Genomic DNA, 17,640 nt, shown 5'->3' with positions numbered 1-17,640 from the left:
TGGGTACGAGAGAAAGAGAGAGAGAAAGAATAAATGTAACAAATTCACCACTATTCTTTTTCTGGGAAATAGTCTTCAGTTCTTGATTTTTATCTTTCACAGGAAATTGTGTTATTAATTAGGTAGCCAAATCATTTATTTAACATGAATATATTAAAATTTAGTTCAGTCCGAGACTACCCCAATCAGAATCTCCCCCACCCTCCATTAAATAAATAAGAACTGGTTATGAGCCTCATATGCTCACCTGGTGGAGAGCTGGCAAGAACATGGTGATAGGCCAGGCACAGGGGCTCACGCATGTAATCCCAACACTTTGGGAGGATGGGGTGGGAAGATCGCCTGAGCCCAGGAGTTTGAGACTAGCCTGGGCAACATACCAAGGCCCCGTCTCTATTAAAAAAAAAAAAAAGAGGAAGAAGAACATGGTGGTCTAGGTGTGGTTTCTGCCCAAGCATCCCTGAAGTTCTTATGAGCATGTGAAGGGAAGGGGCCATATTTTTTATGCCTAGCAAGGATATTCTGTAGTGGTGGCTTGAGGAGAAACCCTTTTGTAAACAATTACTGGGAAACCTGCAAGTTAAACTTCGACTCCCTCATGCAAGTAAAACCATGTGCGTTTTGGGCATACCCACTCAGTGCACCAGCCACTAAGCAGTTCCAGAGAGTAGTCCTTGTGTTTCAGGGATACATGTTGCTTGGAGAAAGGAGATAGAGACCTAGATTCTTTGTGTGTGTGTGTGTGTGTGTGTGTGTGTGTGTTTTGTTTTTTTTTTTTTCTTTTGTGACACAGTCTCACTCTCTCACCCAGACTGGAGTGCAGTGGCCTGATCTCAGTTCACTGCAACCTCCGCCTCTCAGGCTCAAGGGATTCTCCCACCTCAGCCTCCCGAGTAGCTGGGATTACAAGTGCATGCCACTACTGCCCAGGTAATTTTTTGTATTTTAGTAGAGACGGGGTTTCACCATGTTGGTCAGGCCGGTCTCGAACTCCTGACCTCAAATGATCCACCTGCCTCGGCCTCCCAAAGTGCTGGGATTATAGGTGTGAGCCACCGCATCCAGCCCCCTAGATTCTTACTCATTCTGTAACAGTGTGGCTGCTTTGCTGAGTTTATGCTCCCACATCCACACTTTTACAGAACATTTGAGAGAATATGTTTTGGCTCATGAATTAACTTGCAGTTTGAGACTCCCTAACTGACAATCTCCAAGCTGCTGTGGGAGTCCTTGATTCACATACATGTGTAAAATTTTGCTTGGATTTTCTAGGACAGTGAGCTGCATCCAATTACAGGCTTTCTGTAACCAAGTTCTAGGTAGAATTTAGCACTCATCAGTGACTTCTCTTGTTAGTTGTTTAGTTCTATGAGCATTAAGTAGAATCTGATACAAATATCCATCTAAAAACCACACTTTGGGCTAGGCACGGTGGCTCATGCATAGCACTTTGGGAGGCCAAGGCGGGTGGATTACCTGAGGTCAGGAGTTCAAGACCAGGCTGGCCAACATGGTGAAATCCCGTCTCTACTAAAAATACAAAAATTGGCCAGGCATGGTGGTACACACCTGTAATACCAGCTACTTGGGAGAGTGAGGCAGGAGAACCGCTTGAATCTGGGAGGCAGAGGTTGCAGTGAACCCACATCTCACCACTGCACTCCAGCCTGAGCCACAGACCAAGACTCCATCTCAAAAAAAAAAAAAAAAAAAAATTGGTCAAGCACAGTGGCTCACGCCTATAATCCCAGCACTTTGGGAGGCCGAGGCAGGCAGATCACCTGAGGTCAGGAATTCGAGACCAGCCTGGCCAACATGGCAAAACCCCGAATCTACCAAAATTACAAAAATTAGCCGGGCACCGTGGCAGGTGCCTGTAGTCCCAGCTACTCGGGAGGCAGGAGAATCGCTTGAACCCAAGAGGTGGAGGTTGCAGTGAGCCGAGATCACACCACTGCACTCCAGCCTGGGTGATGGAGTGAAACTTGTCTCAAAACAAAAACAAAAACAAAAACAAAAACAAAAACAAAAACAAAATTAGCCAGTCATGGTGGTAGGCGCCTGTGATCCCAGCTACTCAGGAGGCTGAGGCAGGAGAATCACTTGAACCCAGGAGGTGGAGATTGCGGTGAGCCGACATCATGCCACCGCACTCCAGCCTGGGTGACAGAGCAAGACTCTGTCTTAAAAAAAAAAAAAAAAAATCAAGATGCATTATATGTATGACATTAATTTAATTCAGCTCTTGGTTAACTAGAGACGTTTGGATTTAGCCATTCTACATTTCCAGGGTTACATCTGTAGACCTATAAAGCCAGCCTGAGGTGCGTTAATATAGGGAGTGGAGGGGTGGCAGAGTGTTTCTGAGTTCATATTCCATTTCTGTTAGTTATATCTAATCAGAATCTGAGTGATGAATGTCAACAAGGGCAGATTCATGGCTGATCTGTATTTTAGTTTCAGAGCAATGGACTGTTTCTTCTTCTCCGACAGTAGACTAGAGTGATTTCATTTGCTAAAGCCTAAGCCTGAACATTTCTGGAAGCTTACGAAAGTGATGTTTCAGGCTGAGAACGGTGGCTCACACCTGTAATCCCAGCACTTTAGGAGGCCGAGGCAGGCGGATCATGAGGTCAGGAGATCGAGACCATCCTGGCTAACACAGAGAAACACCGTCTCTACTAAAAATACAAAAAATTAGCCGGTGTGGTGGCACACGCCTGTAGTCCCAGCTACTGGTGAGGCTGAGGCAGGAGAATCGTTTGAATTTGGTAGGTGGAGGTTGCAGTGAGCAGAGATCGCACCATTGCACTCTAGCCTGGGCAACAGAGCAAGACTCTGTCTCAAAAAAAGGAAAAGAAAAGAAAAGAAAAAAGTGATGTTTCAGCTGGGCACGATGGCTCATGCCTGTAATCCCAGCACTTTGGGAGGAGTGGGGGGGCGGAACACCTGAGGTAGGAGTTCGAGACCAGCCTGGTCAACATGGTGAAACCCCGTCTCTATTAAAAACACAAAAAATTAGCCAGGGCCTGGTGGCAGGCACCTGTAATCCCAGCTACTTGGGATGCTGAGGCAGAAGAATTGCTTGAACTCAGGAGGCAGAGCCTGCAGTGAGCCGAGATCATGCCACTGCACTCCAGCCTGGGCAGCAAAGTGAAACTCCATCTCAAAAAAAAAAAAAAAAGAAAAGAAAAGAAAAAAAGAAAAGTGTTGTTGCTATGGTAGATGCCATTCTTACAGCATAACTTTGGATCACAAACCTTTTTTATTTTTTCATTGCAGTGCTCTAACTTCAAAGACAGATTGATTTGGTTTTGTTTTTGTTTTTTGAGATGGAGTCTTGCTCTGTCACCCAGGCTGGAGTGCAGTGGTGTGATCTCGGCTCACTGCAACCTCTGCTTCCCAGCTTCAAGCGATTCTCCTGCCTCAGCCTCCCGAGTAGCTGGGACTACAGGCATGAGACCCCATACCTGGCTAATTTTTGTATTTTTAGTAGAGACGGGGTTTCACCACACTGGCCATGCTGGTCTCAAACTCCTGACCACAAGTGATCTGCCTGTCTCAGCCTCCCAAAGTGCTGTGATTACAGGCCTGAGCCACCAGACCCGGCCATTGATTTGTTTTTTGTTTCTTCTTTTATTTTTCTCTGCCTCTTTGCATGCCTCAATCAGATGATTTTTTGTGTGTTTTAGAGATCTGTTAAAATTACATCAGGCTGACTTGACATCAATATAGCCTTACATTTTAGAAGATAAATTCTGAATTCTTGATGGATTTCATAACATTTGTAAGTAGTGTGGTAATCACATGTTTGCTAAACTTTGGAAATCATGATGTAACCCTCTGTCTTCACATAGTGAAGCCTTTTGGATTTTTCTTTAATGAAATATTAAGTTGAATGTGGAACTTTGAGTAATTGGCCCAGATAAAAGAAATGACTTGTCCAGGGATGACAAAAATTAATCCTGACCTTGAGGGATTCACTCTACCAACTCAGAGAATGAGATACACTGGCACTGATTGGTAAAGTCATAGTACCCCTAACTCCCTCAGTTGTTTTTGAGTCATTAAGAACTACTAATATTAGCCCTGTCAGAAGCCAACCTAAGAAAAGAATATTTGCCAAATGCAATTCCATAGCTGGAATGTTGAGGTATAGACAGTGAATATAATGGTTAAGTTATTCCTGAAACTTTAGCTCAGTTCTCTTTCCAAAATTAACGTACTAATATATATAAAAAATCACTCCTTTTCTCCTACTCCTCTTTCCTACTGGCTCTCAAAAAACAGGACTCAGAAATGAAAGGATCAGGCATCTTCACAAAAATGAAGGAAGCCTAGCTTGAACTGGACATGGCTTCTCAAACCTGCACTTGTAGTCCTAACTACATGGGAGGCTGAGGCAGGAGGACGGCTTGAGCCCAAGAGTTTGAGGCCAGCCTGGACAACACAGTGAAACTTTGCCTCTTAAAAAAAAAAAAATACTGAGCCAAAATAAAAGGTTTCAGGGTTTTTGTTTTTTGTTTTTTGTTTTTTTCCCAAACGTGGCTAGCAACAGCACTTGCCTCCAACAAAACTGCAGAGGCAGCTATTCCAGAGTGCAATGGTGCGATCTGGCTCACTGCAACCTCCGCTTCCTGGGTTCAAGCAAACCTCCTGCCTCAGCCTCCTGAATAGCTGGGATTACAGGCATATGCCACCACACCTGGCTAATTTTTGTATTTTTAGTAGAGACGGGGTTTCTCCATGTTGGTCAGGCTGATCTTGAACTCCTGACCTCAGGTGGTCTGCCTGCCTCAGCCTCTCAAAGTGCTGGGATTACAGGTGTGAGCTACCGTGCCTGGCCCACCAGGTATCAGCGTTTTCAAGCACAATTTGGTGGGTAGGGGGAAGCCAGTGATCTGGAGGTGCTGATTGGTCAGGTCAGAGATGAAATCATAGGGTCAAAGCTGTATTCTTGCACTAAGTCAGTTCCTGGGTGGGAGGGCTATAAGATCAGATGAGCTAGTTTATTGATCTAGGTTGTGCCAGCTGATCCATCAAGTGAAGGATCCGCAAAATACCTTAAGCACTGGTTTTAGGTTTTACAATAAACCTAAAATTTAGGTGATGTTATTCCCAGGAGCAATTTGGAGAGGGTCAGAGTCGTGTAGCCTCCAGTTTCATGACTACTAAACTATAATTTTTTTTTTTTTTTTTTTTTGAGACAGAGTCTCGCTCTGTTGCCCAGGCTGGAGTTCAGTGGCACAATCTCGGCTCAATGCAACCTCCGCCTCTCGGGTTCAACCAATTCTCTGCCTTAGTCTCCTGAGTAGCTGGGATCACAGGTACCCACTACCATGCCCAGCTGATTTTTGTATTTTTAGTACAGATGGGGTTTCACCATCTTGGCCAGGCTGGTCTTGAACTCCTGACCTCATGATCCACCTACCTCGGCCTCCCAAAGTGCTGGGATTACAAGCATGAGCCACTGCACCCGGCCCTAAACCATAATTTCTAATCTTGCAGCTAATTTGACAGTCCTACAAAGGCAGTCTAGTCCCTAGGCAAGAAGGGGGTTTGTTTTGGGAAAGGGGTGTTATCATCTTTGCTTTAAACTCTAAACTATAGCCGGGCACAGTAGCTCACGCCTGTAATCCCAGCACTTTGGCATGCCAAGGTGGGTGGATGACCTGAGGTCAGGAGTTTGCGACCAGCCTGACCAACATGGAGAAACCCCGTCTCTACTAAAAATACAAAATTAGCAGGGCGTGGTGGCACATGTCTGTAATCCCAGCTACTCCAGAGGCTGAGGCAGGAGAATCGCTTGAACTGAGGAGGTGGAGGCTGCAGTGAGCCAAGATTGCACCACTGCACTCCAGCCTGGGCAACAAGAGCAAAACAACGTATCAAAAAACAAAAAAACGAAAACAAAAAAAACAAAACCTCTAAACTATAAACTAAGTTCCTCCTAAAGTTAGTTCAGCCTACATCCAGGAGTGAACAAGGACAGCTTGGAGGCGAGAAGCAAGATGATGTTGGTTAGGTCAGATCTCTTTCACTGTCTCAGTTACAATTTTGCAATGGCTGCTTCAATAGTGTGTGGGGGAAGAAGTGTGTGTGTGTGTCTGTCTGTGTTGAGGGAGTTGTTCTTTTTTATTTTCTGAGAGGAAATCTCGTTCTGTTGCCCAGGCTGGAGTGCAATGTCACAATCTTGGCCCACTGCAACCTCTGCCTTCCAGGCTCAAGCGATTCTCCTGTCTTAGCCTCCCGAGTAGTTGGGATTACAGGCGTGTGCCACCATGCCCGGCTAATTTTTTGTATTTTTAGTAGTGACAAGGTTTCACCATATTGGCCAGGCTGGTCCTGAACTCCTGCTAGGATTATAGGTGTGAGCCACTGCGCTCGGCCTGAGGGGGATGTTAACTTTACATAGCCTTCTCTATCTACCAAGAACAAACAATTCCTTTCTGGCCCCCTTAAGGGAATAATGCTCAGTGTTTTTTTTTTTTTTTTTTTTTTTTTTTTTTTTTTTTTGTCTTTCTTTCTCATTACCTCATTCCCTCTTGCTCTTTCTTTCAACATTCATTCAACAAACATTCACTGGGGACCTTCAGACATTTATCCCTCAGAGACAGCATAATATAACTGAAAAAACTTTGGCTTCAAAGGTTGTAGAGAGGATCTTTGATCTAACTCTATACTTACAAACTGGGGAAACTTGAACAGGTAACTTAATCTCTTTCAGGCAGAGGACAGAATAGGAAAAACATGTCCTTCCCACTTCACATGAGAAGGTATTTTGTAAATTGTAAAAAACAAAAAACAAAAAACAAAAAAAATGTATAAAACAGACATGTGCCACCATGCCTGGCTAATTTTTGTATTTTTAGTAGAGATGGGGTTTCACCATGTTGGCCAGGCTGGTCTTGAACTCCTGGCCTCAAGTGATCCACCCATGTTGGCCTCCCAAAATACTGGGATTACAGGTGTGAGCCACCGTGCCCAGCCATAAAGGGCAATTTATGCAAAAATGATGAGGTGAAATAGACTTATTGTTTAGTTGTATTTTTATATGCATTGTGGAAGCAATGCAGCATGGAGGAAAGGCCGTGGAGTCATGCACCCCAGGTCCTGGTTTCAATCTGCCAGCTGTGGTACCTTAGGCAAATAACTCGATTGCTGTAACCCTCTGTAAATGAAGAGTCTGACTTGAACGCAGTGTTTCTTAATCTGTGGTTCTTGGATCACCTGCATCAGAATGACCTGGGTGGCTCACACTTGCAATTCCAACACTTCGGGAGGCCAAGGTGGGAGGATCGCTTGAGCCCACGAGTTCAAGACCAGCCCTGAGCAAAAGAGTGAGATACTGTCTCTATAAACTAAACTAATTAATCATTTAAAAATAAAATAAAAGTTTCTGGATTGTGTCCTAGATCAGGTGAATAACAATCTCTGGAGATGAGGCCCTAGAATCTGCATTTTTAGCAAGTGCTCAGGCCATTGTCATGCACACAGAAGCACACAGAGACCCACTGATAAGACCATCAACAGATTCTCTTCCTGCTCAAAAATTCTATAATTCTCATGACCCAAATTGTAGTTAGCTCTATTTTTCTGTGATCAAAGCAAAATTAAAAGGAGACAGGAAATAACAAAGATTTAGAAACTACTATTTGCAGGCCAGGCATGGTGGCTCACACCGGTAATCCCAGCACTTTGGGAGGCTGAGGTGGGCAGATCACTGGGTCAGGAAATCGAGACCATCCTGGCCAACATGGTGAAACCTCGTCTCTACTAAAAAAATACAAAAAATTAGCCGAGGGTGGTGGCACGTGCCTGTAGTCCCAGCTACTTAGGAGGCTGAGGCACGAGACTCGCTTGAACCCGGGAGGTGGAGGTTTGCAGTAAGCCACGATCGCACCACTGCACTCCAGCCTGGGTGACAGAGCAAGACTCCATCTCAAAAAAAAAAAAAAAAAGAAAAGAAACTACTACTTGCCTTGTACTATGTTTAGGTTTTTATATACACTGTCGTATTTTTCTCCACAATGATCTTTTGAGGTAGGTATTATTATCACCATAGTATGCATGGATTCAAAGTTGGGAATCTGATTTCAAAGTCAGTGGTTTTTCAGGAGTCTCTCTGAACCTATTCTGATTCAGTGGCTGCCTGAAAAAAAAAGTCAATGGTTTTTCCATTATACAATGCTCCACTAAGAAACCACAAAAGAGCTTACTGTAATTGATAAGCTCCAGTGCACACCTTATTTGTATACAGTAGATTAGGAGTTGTTTCTTCATTTTTGTTGAATCATGAGTTTTTCCTATTGTGAACCTTAATTGCTTGATGTGGTGATGACAATATAAAAACTATAAGTGTTATGTCACTCCACTTTAGCCTGGGTGACAGAGTAAGACCCTGTCTCAAAAAGACGAAACAAAACAAAACAAAAACCCAGAAAACTAAAATCTTCTTCTTAATTTCTCTTTGCTTTATTCTTCTTGCCTACTTAAAATTTATTCCTCCTATAATCTGTGCGTTTTTGTAAGGCAGTTTAAATCTTTTGTGTGGTGGAGAATGAATTGGATATAAACAAATAATAAAAAGCAAGCTACAATTATGAATTCACTAAACAACCACATTCATGTAAAGAGAATAAAAATACTTGAAATTGTGACAGCCCAGGATAATTTCAGTTTATGAGATCTCAAACATACAGCTAGCTGCAAAATAGAGAAGACAAGTAGTCTAGATGAGAAATAGATTTGAAATTGACAAGGTCTATCTTTTGAATCCTTTTGCTTGAATTACCTGTTTCAGAAAGAGAAGGGGCCAGGGCAGGCTCAAAGACTTGGTTTAGATGGGGAGAAGGAGGTTGGTCTCTTTGGAAACAAAGTCAAAACAAGGTCCATGTGAAAAAGGCATTGCCTTTTCCTCTTCATGGTATTTGGAGAAGAAACACAAAAAGAAAAGCAGAGGATCAAGTTCAGGGGTGATTAAGAATGCTGAGTAATTGAGTCATCCAAGAAATTGTTCTTGCTGCTGACCAGTTTGCATGGAAGTTGAACTGGTCAAAACAGAAATCATCTGGCCTTCTGATTGGTAACTTGTAACCCCATTATCTTGGTCTCTGATTCATAAGAAAAGTAGTTTGATCTAATTTCAAGCTCAGGTGAAAGGAAGAAATGAGGCCGGCCATGGTGGCTTATGTCTATAATCCCACCACTTTGGGATGCCAAGGTGGGTGGATCATCTGAGGTCAGGAGTTTGAGACCAGCCTGGCCAACATGGCGAAACCCCAATTCTACTAAAAATACAAAAATTAGCCAGGTGTGGTGGCATGCGCCTGTAATCCCAGCTACTCGGGAGGCTGAGGGAGAATCACTTGAACCCGAGAGGTGAAGGTTGCAGTGAGCCGAGATCGCACCACTGCACTCCAGCTGGGTGACACAGAGAGACTCTGTCTCAAAAAAAAAAAAAAAAAAAAAAAAGCTGGGTGCGGTGGCTCACACCTATAGTCCCAGCACTTTGGGAAGCTGAGGTGGGCAGATCACAAGGTCAGGCGTTCAAGACCAGCCTGGCCAACATGGTGAAACCCCATCTCTACTAAAAATACAAAAAATAGCCGGGTATGGTGGCAAGCGCCTGTAATCCCAGCTGCTCTGGAGGCTGAGGCAGGAGAATTGCTTGAGCCCGGGTGGTGGAGGTTAGAGTGAGCCGAGATTGTGCCATTGCACTCCAGCCAGGGCAACGGAACGAGACTCCGTCTCAAAATAATAAAAAGAACGAAAGAAAAGAAAAGAAGAAATGAATATAGGAACTTTCCTCTGTGATTGGATAGAGCTATCTTGTGACAAGAGAATAGCAAAAGTCACCTGTCTGAGATAATGTTTTGGAAAGGACATTATAAAGCCATATACAATGTAAGCAATTGTTTTTGTTGTTGTTTTTGATTAAGACAACACAACTGAAGGGAACCCTAGATATCATCAAGTCTAATTCCTTCATCTTATGATGTCTATGTGGACACTGAAGCCTGTCAGGTTAAGTGTATTTGTTGCCCAAGAGCACACACTTAGCAGAAGTAGCAATGTAGACTTTAGAATTAGACAAACCCTATGCAGGGCCCGGCTCTGCCATTTACTAGTTTATGATTTAGGGCTGGGGAGCGCCTCAGAGAGGTGAAAAGCTGAGCTACACAGAGAAAGTGGAGTTTTCCAGAGGGTCAGGCAATACAGACAGAGGGAGCAGTATATCTGAAGAGGAGCTATGACAGGGAGGATGAGCTTAATGAAGAAAGGGATGCAGGTGGCTGTAGCTGGAGCACATGGAGCTCTTGGGGGAGGGACGAGAAATTATGGGAAGAAAGGGAGGCTGTTGTCTTGTCTCTGGAAGAGGAAACTCCACTGCCAGATTTTTTTTTCTTGCTATATCAATATTACTTTGCATCAGCAACATACCCAAAGAAGCCTGAGTTGCTATAATACAAACTCTAGAAAAGGTGGCTTTTCCAGCAGAGTCTCCTATACTTCTTAGTCTAGGAAGGCAGACTGGAAAGGGCCTGGGATATTACTGGTCCCTTGAAGTCCCTTCCAATAATCCTGTGAGCTGAGCTCTCTTCAGCTCAATGCCCAGGAAGGCTTTCTTAGGCAACAGTTCTCGGGGTGTGTTCAAACAAACAAACAAACAAACAAACAAAAAACCATGAATAATAGCTACCATTTCTATGTGCCTGGCATTATTCTGTTGAGTGAATTGATTCATTTAATCCCCACAAGTCTTATGAAGTAATCACCGTTATTTTTCTACTCCTCAACTTTTCAAAACTTTTTTCTTTTTTTTTCTTTTTTTTTTTTTTTTTGAGATGGAGTCTTGCACCTGTTGCGCAGGGTGGAGTGCAATGGTGCGATCTCGGCTCACCACAACCTCTGCCTCCCGGGTTCAAGCGATTCTCCTGCCTCAGACTCCCCAGTAGCTGGGACAATAGGCATGCGCCATCACGCCTGGCTAATTTTGTATTTTTATTAGAGACGGGGTTTCTCCACGTTGGTCAGGCTGGTCTCGAACTCCTGACCTCAGGTGATCCGCCTGCCTTGGCCTCCCAAAGTGCTGGGATTACAGGCGTGAGTCACCGGACCCAGCCAACTTTTTTTTTTTCATTAAAAAAATTTTTTTACCAGCCTGGCCAATATGGTGAAACCCTGTCTCTACTAAAAGTACAAAAATTAGCTGGGCATGGTGGTGCGCACATATAGTCCCAGCTACTCGGGAGGCTGAGGCAGAAGAATCACTTGAACCCAGGAGGCAGAGGTTGCAGTGAGCAGAGATCACCCCACTGCACTCCAGCCTGGGCGACAGAGTGAGACCCAATCTTAAAAAAAAAAAAATTGTTTTAGCCAGGCACAGTGACTCACGCCTGTAATCCAACACTTTGGGAGGCCGAGGCAGGTGGATCACCTGAGGTCAGGAGTTCGAGACCAGCCTGGCCAACATGGTGAAACGCCGTCTCTACTCAAAATGCAAAAATTAGCCGGGCGTGGTGGTGGGCACCTGTAATCCCAGCTACTCGGGAGGCTGAGGCAGGAGAATCGCTTGAACCCAGGAGGTGGAGGTTGCAGTGAGCTGAGATCATGCCACTGCACTCCAGCCTGGGCAACAGAGTGCGACTCCATCTCAAAAAAAAAAAAATTAGCCAGGCATGATGGCACATGACTGTAATCCCAGCTACTCGGGAGGCTGAGGCAGGAGAATTGCTTGAACCCGGGAGGCAGAGGTTGCAGTGAGTCGAGATTGCGCCATTGCACTCCAGCCTGGGCAACAGAGCAAAACTGTCCCCCCCCAAAAAATTTTTTTTTTTAATAAAGATAGGGTCTCGTTGTGTTATGCAGGCTGGTCTTGAACTCCTAGTCTCAAGCAATCCTCCTGCCTCGGCCTCCCAAAATGCGGGGATTATAGGCATCGGCCACCATTCTCAGCTCACAACTTTTTATTGGAAGTGTAAGATCCATACAAAAACATATATGTCATAAGTGTACAGCTTGATGAATTTTCACAAAAGAGCATACACATGTATGTAACTAGCTTCCAGAATAAGACATAAAAAGTTACCAGCACCAAAAGGCCCCTAGCAGTCACTAGTCTTCCCACCCCCAACTCCCTGCAGAACAACTACCATCCTTACTTTTTACAGCAGAGCTTACTTTGTTTTTGTATGGTATGAACCTGTAGGTAACTGCTTTCATTTCATTTACATTACATTGCATATATGTGGTTAGTTATGGGTCTCTTCATTCTCTCTTATCACTGTATAACAACCTAAACTTTTCATTTTGAAACAGTTTTCTAAACCCACAGAAAAGCTGAAAGACCAGTACAATGAACACTCATATAACTGTTTTTTGTTTTGTTTTGTTTTTGAGGCCTTCTTATTCTGCTGCCCATGCTGGAGTGCAGTGGCGCCATCATGGCTCATTGCAGCCTCTACCTCCTGGGATCAAGTGATCCTCCTGCGTAAGCCTCCTTAGTAGCTGGGACTATAGGCACACGCCAACATTCCTGGCTAACTTTTGTATTTTTTTTGTAGAAATGGGGTCTCCCTATGTTGCCTGGGTTGGTCTTGAACTCCTGGGCTCAAGCAACCCTCCTGCTTCAGCTTCCTAAAGAGCTGGGATATAGTTGTGAGCAACCGCACTCAGCCTTATAAAACCTTTACGTAAAACATGAAGAGCTATTATTATCTCCACTTTACATATGAGGAAACTAAGACAAAAAGAAATTAGGTAACTAGCCCAGGTCATGCCCCTGGGATCTAATTTTGCCTAGCTTGCTGCTTAGTCATAAAACTATAGCCAGATCATATAACTTATCTGAGACTGTTTCTTTACTGTTAAGATGGGAGTAATAACCCCACTCCATCAAGTTTCCAGGCTGTTGTGAGGCTCAAATATGAGCGACATGGGAAAGTGCTTTGTGAAGAGTAAAGTGGTGGCACCTATCGTCACAAATGCAGGCTTCTGGGCCCCACCCCTCATAGATCTTGACTCAGTAGGTCTGGGGGAGGAGGCATAACGTTTGACAAACATCTTCGGTGATTCTGATAGTTTCCAGACCACCATGAGAAAACACATTTGTAAAACAGTAGCTTTCAAACTTTAGAAATTATAAGAATCACTTGAAGGAATTATCAAAACACAGATTGCAGGGCCCACACACAGAATTTCTGATTTACTAGGTTTGGGGTGAGGCCTGAGAATTTGCATTTCTAAGTTCCCACGTGATGCTAATGCTATTGACCCAGGACCCCCACTTTGAGAACCACTGCTGCAAAGCATTTATATAGGTCAGTTATGAGTACTGGTTAACCTGATAATCCACGATAATTTTATTAAGAGTGACTTCTAAGAAATAATAAGTTGGGGCCAGGCACCGTGGCTCATGCCTATAATCCCAGCCCTTTGGGAGGCTGAGGCAGGATTGCTTGAGGCCAGGAGTTCAAGACCAGCCTGGGCAACATAGTGAGACCACATCTCTAACACAAAATAAATAAAAAAGAAAGAAAGAAAGAAAAGAACAAATAAAAAATAGGAAATATTTATAAAAAAATTATTGGGCACTCACAAGCTGAAACAGTTTCAACTATTTATTCAACACCTTAGTGAACACCTGCTCAGTGCGGGCATTATTATATGTTAACTAGAGGTTACAAAAAGAAAAAAAGTTTTTTGACCTCAAGGAAAAAGAATGTATGAACACATAAATAATATTGTGTGATAAAGGCAAGCATAGGCCGGGTGCGGTGGGTCACACCTGTAATTCCAGCACTTTGGGAGGCTGAGGCAGGCGGATCACGAGGTCAGGAGGTTGAAACCATCCTGGCTAACACGGTGAAACCCCGTCTCTACTAAAAAATACAAAAAAATTAGCCGGGCATGGTGGTGGGCACCTGTAGTCCCAGCTACTCGGGACGCTGAGGCAGGAGAATGGCGTGAACCCGGGAGGCGGAGCTTGCAGTGAGCCCAGATCGTGCCACTGCACTCCAGAGTGAAGACTCCGTCTCAAAAAAAAAAAAAAAAAAAAAAAAAAAAGGCAAGCATAAATGTACAAAGTACAGAGGTGCAAAGATGTCTGAGTGATAGATTCCATCTAAGGTAGTCGGGAGGTCTTCCTGGGGGTGGTGGCATCTGTCCACCACCCTCAGGTGGGAATTTGAAGGATAAATTCCCAGTGAACAAGGTGGAGACAGCATGAGCAATGACATACAGGAATCCTATAATAGGATGTGTTCAAAGGACTGTAAGTAAATCTGTGTGACTAGAGCTTAAAGTTTAAGATAGGTGCAACACAAAGTATCTGAGACAGGACTCAATCAATTTAGAAGTTTATTTTGCCAAGGGTAAGGACACACACATGGGAGACAGGTCTGTGCCTTTCTCCAAAGATGATTTTGAGGGTTTCAATATCTAAAGGGGAAAGGAGTGGATACTGGGGAGAGGAGAAATTGTTAAGGGGTGTGGGCCAGTAAGAGGCAAATGGTTGCATTCCTTTGAGTCTTTGATTAGCCATTGACATGTGAGATGGGGGGGTAGAGGAATAGTCACGCATTCATCTAGCTCAGTGAATCTGCATTTTTAAATAAGATAAAATAAACATAGGCCAGAGGGAGCAATCAAATATTAATTTGTCTCAGGTGAGCAGAGGGATGCTATTGTGTTCTGTCCTATGTCCCACATCTGTGAATATAAGCTATCAATTTACATTGTGAGGATGAAATTCAACAGAACTTTTTAGGGTAAAGATCTTGGGGCCCACAAGGAATTTCCTAGTGGGCAAATTATGAGGGAGGTATGTAGCTTTTTTGTTTTGTTTTCTTTTGAGACAGAGTCTCACTCTGTTATCCAGGCTGGAGTGCAGTGTCTCCATTATAGCGGTCCCCAACTGCAGCCTTGACCACCCAGGCTCAAATGATCCTTCCACCTCAGCCCAGCAAGTAGGACTACAGGCGCATGCCACCACACCCGGCTAACTTTTGTATTTTCTGTAGAGACGGGATTTCACCATGTTGCCCAGGCTGGTCTCAAACTCCTGGGTTCAAGTGATCGCCTGCCTCAGCCTCCCAAAGGGCTGAGATTACAGGCATGAACCACTGCGCCTGGCTTATGTAGCTTATCTTTGAATAGGAGGTTTGTGTGACACAGTCCCCAGCTTGACTTTTCCCTTTGGTTCAGTGATTTTGGGGTCCCAAGATTTATTTTCCTTTCACACAGGTAAAGTCCGGAGAAGAAGCTGGTGAGAAAGAGACAGGAGCCAGATGCTGAATGACGGTAAATCGAATCCTGGAGGGAACCAAACAAAACCCTGAAAACCTCCAGGAATCTCAGGTTGGCCAAATCCTTGGTAATGTCCTGCCACTCCCCAGGACTGCCACACTGTACACACCCTATCTAATGGCAACCTACTGCAGGGGCCAAGGAAAAACGTCTCCTTTGTCCTCTGGAGGTTCACTGAAAAATCAACTGGCGGAAAGCAAATTAACAGGTCAAAAGATATACATGTATTATTATAAAAAGACGTAAATGTATTATTGGGCATGTGGGGGAACCACAGAGTAATTACTCCACCTCTCAGTGGGCTCAGAAGCTTATATACCCCTCCTGAGGTTACAGAAAGTTTGGGGGCTCAGAGAATGGTGGTAAATCAGGATTTAGTGGCAAGACAGAAATGGAAACTTGGCTAGCAAAAGTCATTTCATTATGTAGATTGGGGTCCCCAAACTTTGGGCCATTTACACTGTGGCCATTTACATTCCTGTTAGGAATAGGGCCGCACAGCAAGAGGTGAGTGGCGGGTGAGTGAGCAATACCGCCTGAGCTCTGCCTCTTGTCAGGTCAGCAGCTGGTATTAGGTTCTCTTAGGAGCAAGAACGCCGCTGTGAACTGCACATGCAAGGGATCTAGGTTGCGGCTCCTTATGAGAATCTAATGCCGATGATTTAAGGTGGAACAGTTTCATCCTGAAAACCATCCCCCTGCCCTGGTCCATGGAAAAATTGTCTTCCATGAAACCTATCCCTGGTGCCAAAAAGGTTGGGGACCGCTCATGTAGATGAAACCTCACAGGTAGTAGCCATTGGAAAGAATAGATGGTTGATGTTTCTTTCAGACCTTTAAAGGTGTCAGACTGTCCATTAACCTTTCCTATATCTGGACGAGGGAAAACCTCAGAGAGCACCTGGCTGCATCAATGCAGATTTTCTCTGTATATTGCAAGCCTCTCTCACACACACACACACACACACACACACACACACACACACACACACACACACCAAACAGCTTCGTAGGACTACTTCCGCCTGCAGGTCCTCTGAACAGCCATATCTCAAAATATGTGAAAGAAGTATATTTTGGGGTAAAATTTTTTGGTTTCCTTCACTACACATCTCACCTTGGGTGTTATTCTTGCCACTGGTTTCATGTTCTCAGACTCACGAAGCTGAAAAACAGTTGGGGATGCAGAATTTGATGTGCTTCATCCTTTGTGGGCTTGAAGAGTCTCTTGTTCCCAAAATTATTCCCTGGGGCCCTCTGCTTCACAGGCAAATAAAAGCAAAAAGAAGCTTGCTCAGCCTTAAGTGAGGAAATGACTCACAGGTTTAAAACAAAAAAGGAAAAGATGGAGGCATTTTGTAGGTGAAAGGGCGAGAGTCTTCTGATGCAAAGTAAGAGGTCATTAGAGCAGGGATGGATTATCAATAAGCAGAGCAAACATTTGCTTAGGGAACAAACAGCGCCGGAACACGAAAAAGAAAAGAAAAACATAATAATTTAATTACTTAAAACACTGAAGATGGCAACATAGGAAAAAACCCAAACCAGAACATTTTTGGACTTCATAACATTTTATGGTTCAGTATTTATGGCTTAGTATTTTATTTTGAATTACATGTGGGGAGGAGGGGTAAAAATACTTTAATTTTTCTTGCTAAGTAAGTACTATTATATATTCAGGTATAATGGGATAAGGGATACCATTTTAATGGGTCCGTTTGGAGCTTTAAATATGATCAACAGTATCTGTGTGCATGCAAGATTGGTTAAGAAACTGGGTTAGACCGAGTGCGGTGGCTCACGCCTGTAATCCCAGCACTTTGGGAGGCCAAGGCGGGCGGATCACGAGGTCAAGCGATCGAGACCATCCTGGCCAACATGGTGAAACCCCGTCTCTACTAAAAATACAAAAATTAGCTGGGCGTGGTGGCCCGCGCTTGTAGTCCCAGCTACTCGGGAGGCTGAGGCAAGAGAATCACTTGAACCCGGGAGGCTGGGGTTGCAGTGAGCCAAGATCGCGCCACTGCACTCCAGCCTGGCGACAGAGCGAGACTCCGTCTCAAAAAACAACAACAACAACAACAACAACAGAAAATGAAAACAAATTGGGGTAAAAGTCTCTGAGAGCTTCCTACAGTTACAACTCCAAAGCTTCACAAAGCCAGTCCCTCCTGGCTGGAGCCAGGGACTCCAACGCTGTGGGCCTCTCAGGGGGCGGACCCGCGGCGCCAGCGCCTGCTCCCTTCCCACCTCCCAACCCTCCTCTCTGCTGTATCCTCCCTGCGAGCTGTGTCGGGGGCCGGGGGGGGGGAGTGGGGGCCGAGGCCGGAC

This window comes from Homo sapiens, chromosome 9 (genome assembly GCF_000001405.40).
Source record: "Homo sapiens chromosome 9, GRCh38.p14 Primary Assembly".
In the NCBI taxonomy this organism is placed as follows: Eukaryota; Metazoa; Chordata; class Mammalia; order Primates; family Hominidae; genus Homo; species Homo sapiens.
Note: the sequence above shows the minus strand (reverse complement) of the source record.